Genomic DNA, 13,124 nt, shown 5'->3' with positions numbered 1-13,124 from the left:
TTGCCGTGTTGGCCAGGCTGGTCTCAAACTCCTGACCTCAGGTGATCTGCCTGCCTTGGCCTCCCAGAGTGCTGGGATTACAGGTGTGAGCCACTGCACTTGGCCTAGAATAAAATTTTCTAAAATGTTGTACATAAAATACTAGTGCTGCAAGAGGTTCTTTGAATAAAAAATTTCCCCAAATTATTTAAAAATGAAACCCTTCTTTCAGGGAATATTTATTAACACCCACAGAATTTGGGTTAGATAGAGTGTACCTGGGGAAATACTGTTTTAGAGAGTATCAACTTCTGTATATAATTCAGGTAGATAATTCTTGGCTATTGGGTAATTTCAAGGGTGTCAAAATTTAATTTTTAAAAAATAAAATAATCACTCTCATCTGAATGTAAAATGAATACATATCAAATATTTTATTTAATACATTAATTAATGAAGGAATCAGTAAGATGTTAAAACTGATTCAAAGAGAATCTGAAGAATAGACACATATAGGCACTCAGCAATACAGAAACAAATTTACCAATTGATGCAGAACTATTTAATGTTTATAGGACAATAAAATGTAACATTTGAAATGATCTTTCCAGCCAGGCATGGTGGCTCATGCCTGTAATCCCAGCACTTTGGGAGGCTGAAGCGGGTGGATCACTTGAGGTCAGGAGTTTGAGACCAGCCTGGCCAATATGGTGAAACTCTGTCTCTACTAAAAATACAAAAATTAGCCGGACGTGGTGGTGGGCACCTGTAGCCCCAGCTACTCAGGAGGCTGAGGCAGGAGAATCACTGGAGCCCAGGAGGCAGAGGTTGCAGTGAGCTGAGATTGCACCACTGCACTCCAGCCTGGGTGACAAAGCAAGATCTTTCCTACAAGGCATAAATCAATTACATACCAGTTAGACAAAATGCATTTGTATTTCTACAGAGAAGAATTATTTGCATCACCCTCAGTTTCTCCATCTAATAAAATGATAAAACAGTGATGGGAATCAGGACATGCTACCCCAAAATATGGCACCTTTGCATATGGAATATATAAATACATTGGTATGCTTTTCTCTTGTTAATCTATATCTTGTTATAGGTGCCCCAGCAAGTGAGGCTAAGATCCATAGAAAGAGATGTGCCATGTGACTTTGAACAAGTGACTCACTGGTTCTAAGGCTCACCTTCTTCTTTAGTAAGATGGGGATATCACTAGTTTAGATATTAAGTGAGATGCACAGCCCAGGGCCTGGGAAATAGTAAACAGCCTTGTCAAAGCAAGGAGAATGTTTCTATAGAATCAGATAACTCCCAGGTTGTCCATTAGATAACAATGAGCATTCCAGTGAACGCACACTGTGGTAGGCAGAATAGTACCCCTCCAGCCCCCTACCCCAAGATGTCTATGTCCTAATTCCCAAAACCTATTAATATGTTATGTTACAAGGAAAAGAGGAATGAAGGTTGTAGATGAAATTCAGTGCTAATCTAATGACTTTAAAATAAGGAAACTCTCCTGGTTTATCCAGATGGACTCAATGTAACCACAAGTGTCCTTTAAAATAGAAAAGGGGAGCAGAGGGAGAGGTCATAGTCAGAGAGAGACTTGAAGATACCACACTGCTGGCTTTGAAGACAGAAGAAGAGGCCACAAGCCAAGGAATGCACTGACCTCTAGAAGCTGGAGAGACAAGAAAATGGATTTTCCTCTACAGCCTTCGGAAGAAAAGAGGCTCTACCAACACCTTGATTTTAGCTTAGCGAGACCCATTTCAGACTTCTCACCTCCAAAGGTATAAAATAATAAATTTGTGTTGTTTTGATCTACTAGGTTTATGGTGTTGGGGCTCAGAAGACACTACCCCAAATATTCAGAAATGAAAGAGCTTGGGAGGACCTCAGAAGCAAGAAGGTCATTGTGACCTTCACCTACTTTTCTGCTTGAGAACTGATCAAAAAAGAAATTCTCTGACCTAACTTGCCTGAAAATATTTCATAAGATGCTCATTCCAGAGAGGTCCTGCCCCATACCTGGGAGAAAGGAATGTTATAGAGAGAAGCCAAGAAGAATCTGAGCAGACAGGTCTTGCCGGGTTTCCCCCTCAGTCTATTACCATTAGATCACACCCTTTTGTCCAGTCACATTTCTACACAGCTGTCCATTCTTCATCAAACCTAAGCATAAAAATAGACAGTTTCCTCTGGGTCTTTGGCTCTTCATTCTTTTTCTTTCTCTTTTCTTTTCTTTACTTTTTTTTTTTTTTTTGAGACAGAGCCTTACTTTGTTGCCCAGGCTGGAGTGCAGTGGCGTGATCTTGGCTCACTGCAACCTCTGCCTCATAGGTTCAAGCAATTCTCATACCTCAGCCTCCCAACATAGCTGGAATTACAGGCATGCACCAGCATGCCTGGCTAATTTTTGTAATTTTAGTAGAGACAGGGTTTCACCATGTTAGCCAGGCTGGTCTCGAACTCCTGTCCTCAGGCAATCTGCTTGCCTTGGCCTCCCAAAGTGTTGGGATTACAGGCATGAGCCACTGTACTTGGCCCTTAGGTCTTCATTTCTGAAGGCTCCTGTATCATATTAAACTTTGGTTAAGTAATGTGTTATGCTTTTCTTTTGCTAACCTGTCTTTTTTTATAGGAGTATCCACCTTGACCCTTATGATGGATGAGGAAAAGTATCACATCTTCCCGCCGCTACAGTGGTAATTTCTCATGGTAGTTAAGAGAAAACCAATAGACACCAAGTAATCTCTGTGCCCATTTCAAAGTCTTTTATAAACGTTTCTAATAAAAGTACCAAACTTTATAAAAGTGAATTTAAAAACTTATAAAACTTCTTTAAATACTTAAAATTTATAATGTAAAATAGTGCATGATAATATAGATAAAAGTACTTAAATTGTTTATCAAATAGAAAAATTACAAGCACAGTAAAAAGAAGTAATTAAAAATATTTGGCTAAGATTATGAAACAATCTAGAAGTCTCTTCAGACTTTTAACAGAGATGAGGTTTTAATGGTTTCTTATAGAATTAGTAAACACTGTGATCATACTATAAATGTCTGCTAAAGAGCCTTACCTAGGGGCTGAGCCAGATCCTGTATTTGAGGCCTTTTGCCTAGATTAGGTACTCATGTAGATACTGCTCTGAATGCAATATCCTCTGCCTACAACTAGGTGGGGATTTTGTTGTTTTGCAAATCATATTTTAGGAACAAGTGAATTTTTTTACCAAAGGGGATTTAACTAATTGTGAACTCTTCAAGGGCTCACTTTTTTTTTAAATTTTATTATTATTATACTTTAAGTTTTAGGGTACATGTGCACAATGTGCAGGTTAGTTACATATGTATACATGTGCCATGCTGGTGTGCTGCACCCATTAACTCGTCATTTAGCATTAGGTATATCTCCTAATGCTATCCCTCCCCCCAACCCCCACCCCACAACAGTCCCCAGAGTGTGATGTTCCCCTTCCTGTGTCCATGTGTTCTCATTGTTCAGTTCCCACCTATGAGTGAGAACATGCAGTGTTTGGTTTTTTGTCCTTGCGATAGTTTACTGAGAATGATGATTTCCAATTTCATCCATGTCCCTACAAAGGACATGAACTCATCATTTTTTATGGCTGCATAGTATTCCATGGTGTATATGTGCCACATTTTCTTAATCCAGTCTATCATTGTTGGACATTTGGGTTGGTTCCAAGTCTTTGCTATTGTGAATAGTGCCACAATAAACATACGTGTGCATGTGTCTTCATAGCAGCATGATTTATAGTCCTTTGGGTATATACCCAGTAATGGGATGGCTGGGTCAAATGGTATTTCTAGTTCTAGATCCCTGAGGAAATGCCACACTGACTTCCACAATGGTTGAACTAGTTTACAGTCCCACCAACAGTGTAAAAGTGTTCCTATTTCTCCACATCCTCTCCAGCACCTGTTGTTTCCTGACTTTTTAATGATTGCCATTCTAACTGGTGTGAGATGGTATCTCATTGTGGTTTTGATTTGCATTTCTCTGATGGCCAGTGATGGTGAGCATTTTTTCATGTGTTTTTTGGCTGCATAAATGTCTTCTTTTGAGAAGTGTCTGTTCATGTCCTTCGCCCACTTTTTGATGGGGTTGTTTGTTTTTTTCTTGTAAATTTGTTTGTGTTCATTGTAGATTCTGGATATTAGCCCTTCGTCAGATGAGTAGGTTGCGAAAATTTTCTCCCTTTTTGTAGGTTGCCTGTTCACTCTGATGGTAGTTTCTTTTGCTATGCAGAAGCTCTTTAGTTTAATTAGATCCCATTTGTCAATTTTGGCTTTTGTTGCCATTGCTTTTTGTGTTTTAGACATGAAGTCCTTGCCCATGCCAATGTCCTGAATGGTAATGCCTAGGTTTTCTTCTAGGGTTTTTATGGTTTTAGGTCTAATGTTTAAGTCTTTAATCCATCTTGAATTAATTTTTGTGTAAGGTGTAAGGAAGGGATCCAGTTTCAGCTTTCTACATATGGCTAGCCAGTTTTCCCAGCACCATTTATTAAATAGGGAATCCTTTCCCCATTGCTTGTTTTTCTCAGGTTTGTCAAAGATCAGATAGTTGTAGATATGCAGCATTATTTCTGAGGGCTCTGTTCTGTTCCATTGATCTATATCTCTGTTTTGGTACCAGTACCATGCTGTTTTGGTTACTGTAGCCTTGTAGTGTAGTTTGAAGTCAGGTAGCGTGATGCCTCCAGCTTTGTTCTTTTGGCTTAGGATTGACTTGGCGATGAGGGCTCTTTTTTGGTTCCATATGAACTTTAGTTTTTTCCAATTATGTGAAGAAAGTCATTGGTAGCTTCATGGGGATGGCACTGAATCTATAAATTACCTTGGGCAGTATGGCCATTTTCACAATGTTGATTCTTCCTACCCATGAGCATGGAATGTTCTTCCATTTGTTTGTATCCTCTTTCATTTCATTGAGCAGTGGTTTGTAGTTCTCCTTGAAGAGGTCCTTCACATCCCTTGTAAGTTGGATTCCTAGGTATTTTATTCTCTTTGAAGCAGTTGTGAATGGGAGTTCACTCATGATTTGGCTCTCTGTTTGTCTGTTATTGGTGTATAAGAATGCTTGTGATTTTTGTACATTGATTTTGTATCCTGAGACTTTGCTGAAGTTGCTTATCAGCTTAAGGAGATTTTGGGCTGAGACGATGGGGTTTTCTAGATATACAATCATGTCATCTGCAAATAGGGACAATTTGACTTCCTCTTTTCCTAATTGAATACACTTTAGTTCCTTCTCCTGCCTAATTGCCCTGGCCAGAACTTCCAACACTATGTTGAATAGGAGTGGTGAGAGAGGGCATCCCTGTCTCATGCCAGTTTTCAAAGGGAATGCTTCCAGTTTTTGCCCATTCAGTATGATATTGGCTGTGGGTTTGTCATAGATAGTTCTTATTATTTTGAGATATGTCCCATCAATATCTAATTTATTGAGAGTTTTTAGCATGAAGGTTGTTGAATTTTGTCAAAGGGCTTTTCTGCATCTATTGAGATAATCACGTGGTTTTTGTATTTGGCTCTGTTTATATGCTGGATTACATTTATTGATTTGTGTATATTGAACCAGCCTTGCATCCCAGGGATGAAGCCCACTTGATCATGGTGGATAAGCTTTTTGATGTGCTGCTGGATTCGGTTTGCCAGTATTTTATTGAGGATTTTTGCATCAATGTTCATCAAGGATATTGGTCTAAAATTCTCTTTTTTGGTTGTGTCTCTGCCCGGCTTTGGTATCAGGATGATGCTGGCCTCATAAAATGAGTTAGGGTGGATTCCCTCTTTTTCTATTGATTGGAATAGTTTCAGAAGGAATGGTACCAGTTCCTCCTTGTACCTCTGGTAGAATTCGGCTGTGAATCCATCTGGTCCTGGACTCTTTTTGGTTGGTAAGCTATTGATTATTGCCACAATTTCAGAGCCTGTTATTGGTCTATTCAGAGATTCAACTTCTTCCTGGTTTAGTCTTGGGAGGGTGTATGTGTCGAGGAATTTATCCATTTCTTCTAGATTTTCTAGTTTATTTGCATAGAGGTTGTTTGTAGTATTCTCTGATGGTAGTTTGTATTTCTGTGGGATCGGTGGTGATATCCCCTTTATCATTTTTTATTGCGACTATTTGATTCTTCTCTTTTTTTCTTTATTAGTCTTGCTAGCAGTCTATCAATTTTGTTGATCCTTTCAAAAAACCAGCTCCTGGATTCATTAATTTTTGAAGGGTTTTTTGTGTCTCTATTTCCTTCAGTTCTGCTCTGATCTTAGTTATTTCTTGCCTTCTGCTAGCTTTTGAATGTGTTTGCTCTTGCTTTTCTAGTTCTTTTAATTGTGATGTTAGGGTGTCAATTTTGGATCTTTCCTGCTTTCTCTTGTGGGCATTTAGTGCTATAAATTTCCCTCTACACACTGCTTTGAATGTGTCCCAGAGATTCTGGTATGTTGTGTCTTTGTTCTCGTTGGTTTCAAAGAACATCTTTATTTCTGCCTTCATTTTGTTATGTACCCCATATTCATTCAGGAGCAGATTGTTCAGTTTCCATGTAGTTGAGCGGTTTTGAGTGAGATTCTTAATCCTGAGTTCTAGTTTGATTGCACTGTGGTCTGAGAGACAGTTTGTTATAATTTCTGTTCTTTTACATTTGCTGAGGAGAGCTTTACTTCCAACTATGTGGTCAATTTTGGAATAGGTGTGGTGTGGTGCTGAAAAAAATGTATATTCTGTTGATTTGGGGTGGAGAGTTCTGTAGATGTCTATTAGGTCTGCTTGGTGCAGAGCTGAGTTCAATTCCTGGGCATCCTTGTTAACTTTCTGTCTCGTTGATCTGTCTAATGTTGACAGTGGGGTGTTAAAGTCTGCCATTATTATTGTGTGGGAGTCTAAGTCTCTTTGTAAGTCACTCAGGACTTGCTTTATGAATCTGGGTGCTCCTGTATTGGGTGCATATATATTTAGGATAGTTAGCTCTTCTTGTTGAATTGATCCCTTTACCATTATGTAATGGCCTTCTTTGTCTCTTTTGATCTTTGTTGGTTTAAAGTCTGTTTTATCAGAGACTAGGATTGCAACCCCTGCCTTTTTTTGTTTTCCATTTGCTTGGTAGATCTTCCTCCATCCTTTTATTTTGAGCCTGTGCGTCTCTCTGCATGTGAGGTGGGTTTCCTGAATACAGCACACTGATGGGTCTTGACTCTTTATCCAATTTGCCAGTCTGTGTCTTTTAATTGGAGCATTTAGTCCATTTACATTTAAAGTTAATATTTTTATGTGTGAATTTGATCCTGTCATTATGATGTTAGCTGGTTATTTTGCTCATTAGTTGATGCGGTTTCTTCCTAGTCTCGATAGTCTTTACATTTTGGCATGATTTTGCAGCAGCTGGTACCGGATGTTCCTTTCCATGTTTAGTGCTTCCTTCAGGAGCTCTTTTAGGGCAGGCCTGGTGGTGACAAAATCTCTCAGCATTTGCTTGTCTGTAAAGTATTTTATTTCTCCTTCACTTATGAAGCTTAGCTTGGCTGGATATGAAATTCTGGGTTGAAAATTCTTTTCTTTAAGAATGTTGAATACTGGCCCCCACTCTCTTCTGGCTTGTAGAGTTTCTGTCGAGAGATCTGCTGTTAGTCTGATGGGCTTCCCTTTGTGGGTAACCCGACCTTTCTCTCTGGCTGCCCTTAACATTTTTTCCTTCATTTCAACTTTGGTGAATCTGACAATTATGTGTCTTGGAGTTGCTGTTCTCGAGGAGTATCTTTGTGGCGTTCTCTGTATTTCCTGAATCTGAACGTTGGCCTGCCTTGCTAGATTGGGGAAGTTCTCCTGGATAATATCCTGCAGAGTGTTTTCCAACTTGTTTCCATTCTCCCTGTCACTTTCAGGTACACCAATCAGACGTAGATTTGGTCTTTTCACATAGTCCCATATTTCTTGGAGGCTTTGTTCGTTTCTTTTTATTCTTTTTTCTCTAAACTTCCCTTCTCGCTTCATTTCATTCATTTCATCTTCCATCACTGATACCCTTTCTTCCAGTTGATTGCATCAGCTCCTGAGGCTTCTGCATTCTTCACGTCATTCTTGAGCCTTGGCTTTCAGCTCCATCAGCTCCTTTAAGCACTTCTCTGTATTGGTTATTCTAGTTATACATTCATCTAAATTTTTTTCAAAGTTTTTAACTTCTTTGCCTTTGGTTTGAATTTCCTCCTGTAGCTCGGAGTAGTTTGATCCTCTGAAGCCTTCTTCTCTCAACTCGTCAAAGTCATTCTCCGTCCAGCTTTGTTCCGTTGCTGGTGAGGAACTGTGTTCCTTTGGAGGAGGAGAGGTGCTCTGCTTTTTAGAGTTTCCAGTTTTTCTGCTCTGTTTTTTCCCCCATCTTTGTGGTTTTATCTACTTTTTGTCTTTGATGATGGTGATGTACAGATGGGTTTTTGGTGTGGATGTCCTTTCTGTTTGTTAGTTTTCCTTCTAACAGACAGGACCCTCAACTGCAGGTCTGTTGGAGTTTGCTAGAGGTCCACTCCAGACCCTGTTTGCCTGGGTATCAGCAACGGTGGCTGCAGAACAGCAGATTTTTGTGAACCGCGAATGCTGCTGTCTGATTGTTCCTCTGGAAGTTTTGTCTCAGAGGAGTACCCGGCCATGTGAGATGTCAGTCTGCCCCTACTAGGGGGTGCCTCCCAGTTAGGCTGCTCGAGGGTCAGGGGTCAGGGACCCACTTGAGGAGGCAGTCTGCCCATTCTCAGATCTCCAGCTGCGTGCTGGGAGAACCACTGCTCTCTTCAAAGCTGTCAGACAGGGACATTTAAGTCTGCAGAGGTTACTGCTGTCTTTTTGTTTGTCTGTGCCCTGCCCCCAGAGGTGGAGCCTACAGAGGCAGGCAGGCCTCCTTGAGCTGTGGTGGGCTCCACCCAGTTTGAGCTTCCCAGCTGCTTTGTTTACCTAATCAAGCCTGGGCAGTGGCGGGAGCTCCTCCCCCAGCCTCACTGCTGCCTTGCAGTTCGATCTCAGACTGCTGTGCTAGCAATCAGTGAGACTCCATGGGCGTAGGACCCTCTGAGCCAGGTGTGGGATATAATCTCCTGGTGCACCATTTTTTAAGCCCATCGGAAAAGCACAGTATTAGGGTGGGAGTGACCCGATTTTCCAGTGACCCGATCACCCCTTTCTTTGACTAGGAAAGGGAACTCCCTGACCCCTTGCGCTTCCCAAGTGAGGCAATGCCTCGCCCTGCTTCGGCTCGTGTACCGTGCGCTGCACCCACCGTCCTGCGCCCACTGTCTGCCACTCCCTAGTGAGATGAACCCGGTACCTCAGATGGAAATGCAGAAATCACCCGTCTTCTGCATCACTCACACTGGGAGCTGTAGACCAGAGCTGTTCCTATTTGGCCATCTTGGCTGCCCTCCTCTTCAAGGACTCACTTTGCAAATAGTAATAGTTGTGCCATCCATTGCTTGAGAAAGGTCATTCTGTCAGCTGGCTTAATGGAAAGAAAGGCTTCTATAAATTATTGTGTAGCAGAGTGGTATGTAAAGTACAGTTGATTCTTGAATAACACAGGTTTGAAGTGTATGGGCCCTCTTACATGTAATTTTTTTTCAATAAATATATTGGAAGATTTTTTGGAGATTTGCAACAAAAAATCAATTTCCTCACCCATCTTAAGGGTCAAAGTGGATATTCCTACAACAAAAGACAGGTTAGCAAGAGAAAAGCATAACACATTTATCTAATCAAAGTTTTATATGATGCAGGAAATTTCAGAAATGAAGACTCAAAGACCCAGAGGAAATTTAAAAAAATTCATAGATGAACCATGTAGCCTGGAAATATAAAAAAAAAATTAAGAAAACAGGTATGCCAAGAATGCCCTAAGTATATGTAGATATTAGTCTATTTTATAATTTACTAGTATGAAATGTACACAAATCTGTTATAAAAGTTAAATTTATCAAAACTTAAGCACACAAACATAAATGGTGCCATTTGCCATTTTCAGTGGAGAGAAATGTAAACAAATGTAAAGATGCAGTATGAAATCACAGCCGCATGAAATAACCTGTCATTATTGCAGTGAGCCCAAGTGTCATGACTATCCACTTAAAACATCTCGTTAAGCGAATCGTCTCTGTGTGAGCAGTTTGTCTCTCCAGTGAACTGCATATCGAGGTAAAAAGTGATGTCTCATGGTTGTCATGTATCTTGCATTGTGTTTAGTGCAATAGTGCAAACCTTGAATAACACCATGAGTCCCATACGAAGTACCACTAGCGATGCTGAAAGTGCTCCCAAGAAGCCAAGAAAAGTTATGACATTATAAGAAAAAGTTGAATTACTTGATATGTACCATAGGTTGAGGTCTGCAGCTGCAGTTGCTCACCATTTTAGACAGGTGGTTCAACTTGTAAACAGACACATAAATGTATGATATACATAAATACATTATAGTACTGTAAATGTATTTTCTCTTCCTTATATTTTCCTAGTAATATTTTCTTTTCTCTAGTTTGCTTTATTGTAAAAGTACAGTATATAATACATGTAACATGCAAAGTATGTGTTATCAACTTTATGTTATGGCTAAGGCTTCTGGTCAACAGTAGGCTATTAGTAGTTAAGTTTTGAGGTAGTCAAAAGTTATACATGGATTTTCCACTGCATGGGAGTCAATGCTCCTAGTCCCCTTGTTGTTCAAGAGTCAACCATAGTAATGGAATGTACCCCTACTGCTCCCTTTCCCACTGGGAAGTTTAATTGAAAATGGTTGTTGTGGATACAAGCCACCTTGAAAATAATGACCCAGAATCCAAATTACCGAATTAAAAGGTTGTTGTTGAGGAAAGTTATCTACTCCTATTCCTTGCCCCAGGAGGTAACAATGACAAGCTTCAGGAGACAGCTGAAGAAAGAGTGCTTGAAAATGAAAAACAGAGAGGGGTGTTGGTGTTGGTGGTGATGTGTTGCATGCATGTATGCATTTGTGCATGTGTGTATGCATTTCTGCATGCATAGGAACATGTGTCTGTATGTTTGTGTATGAGGAGAGGGGTTGCTGGATAGGTCTCCCTGCAAAGTTTGGGAAGTCAAAGAGCAGGGCATAAAGTCATTCTATACCTTGGATGAATTTTACTGAGCACGGCTTTAGAATTGCAGCCAGCACCACAGGGCTATATGGAAACAGGGCAGCAAGGCTCAAAGAAAGCAAAGATTTCCCTGCATGCTGCACCCAATTTTCTTCCCTGGTTCGCAATTTGTGGGACTTTGTAATTTTATTGTGGCTCTATAGAACTCCGGATGTCAGTTGGTAGTGTACATTTATTTGCCAACTCTAAGAGGCCACTTGGTTATCAAGGCAACAGACAGACACAAAGGATGCTCGTTGACTTCTGCCTGGGGGAAGAGGTAGAAGTGGCTATAGTTTCCTGAAATCAACTGAAGTCACAAATCTTCCTAGGGAGAAGATGGTTGTCACATTTTAGCCAGTTTTCAGCTACTAGTCAATGTCAGCTGCTGAGCCTGAGACCAGACTTAATGAGCTCTTTAGTAATGCAGAGATAGTGCAGGACAAATATTAGAAAGTATGGGCATTCCCCTTTATTCTCTCCAGGGCTATTGATCCCAAACTGGCTTGGAGAAGAAAAGAAAGAAATATTTATGTGAATTGAGTGGTTAGTATAATACTTTTGAATTTGACTGGATGAGAGTAAGTATCTGAAAGTGACTAGATTAATTTTCTGCCATCATCACAAATAGAAATTTGAAATCACAAGGTTTATGCTGTTATGGAACAAACTGTTTTTGTGCTCCTGAGTTAGGTGGACAGTTGTAATGGGAAAATATCATACCAGTTTTATCAAGATGAAGAAAATAATCCAGGAGAGAAGTCAGGAGGAACAATATCCCAAAAGAACAATGGAATCGAAACCGTTGTCTAGAAGTTAATGTGTACAGAAAGTAACTCAGAGGAAGGAGTAATTGCATCTTCTGAAAAAGTAGCAGCAATTGAGTCTCTCCTCAAACCCACTAACTGCTGGCTGTTTTGCTGATCTCTTTGGGAATTAATAATACCGCAGCCAAAGGAATCTGGAATGTATTGTTGGTGACTTTGAAGTCCAGGCTACAAATCGAAGCATGTGGAGCCTTGGAAGAGGAAAAGGCACCAGGGAAGTGAACCATTGGCCACAGAAATTATTTTAAAGTGTTGTAGGCCATGATTTTTCATGCCAGAACATCTGAGCCTTGGCAAGGATGATGTGCACCCCATGAGAAAAGGAAAACTGTGTTTGATAGAACTTCTAACCTGTTCAAAAGGGATTTAACCTGAAATATGAAAGAGGATGAGGGGAAAAGAAACCATAGACAAAGCTCTAAAATAAATCTGGTGATTAACTGATACCACATTGGAAGAACCATTGCCAAGAAAGTGCTCAGTTATTCTAACAAGAAAATATCAAGGAAGAGAATCAACAAGTAAATTTATGACCTTGTCTTACTATATATTCCAATGCATAGAGAATGGCTAGAAGCTAATAGAACTTGACATTTAACACAGGTGGTCAATGTGATTTCAGGACATCACTGTGAAGACATAAAGAGATGGGGCTTATAATTGTGAAATGCTGTATGAAGGGTGATAATTAAGAGTACTCCAGCTGGTGCAGCCACATCAAAGAGCAAAGTGGCAGCTCTTGGTCAGATTTACTATATGTATGTCAGCAACCCAGCAATTTGGCCTTTGGGCATATATCTCAGGTTCATCATTATGAACTTAGGCAGGTTCATAATTTATTGCAGCCATTTTGGTGGTGATAGGGAATTGAAAGCAATCAGGGTGTCCTTCGGGGGAAAAGTGGATAACCACATGTGGTAGGTGAATGCCAGAAAGCATCATGCAGCAGTTAGAACCAGCAGACTAGAAGTAGACATAGCCCCATGTATGGAGCTAAAAAAGATGGTACTGAGTAAAAATGTAAGAAATAGGATGATATACACGTAATAGAATATCAATTATATGTTCTAAAATACATTCACATGGAAAAATCATGCACATTTTGAAAGTACATTTATTAACACATGAATTCATTAGACATAGGAGAATGGTTTG

Source organism: Homo sapiens, chromosome 3, assembly GCF_000001405.40.
Source record: "Homo sapiens chromosome 3, GRCh38.p14 Primary Assembly".
Taxonomy (NCBI): domain Eukaryota; kingdom Metazoa; phylum Chordata; class Mammalia; order Primates; family Hominidae; genus Homo; species Homo sapiens.
Note: the sequence above shows the minus strand (reverse complement) of the source record.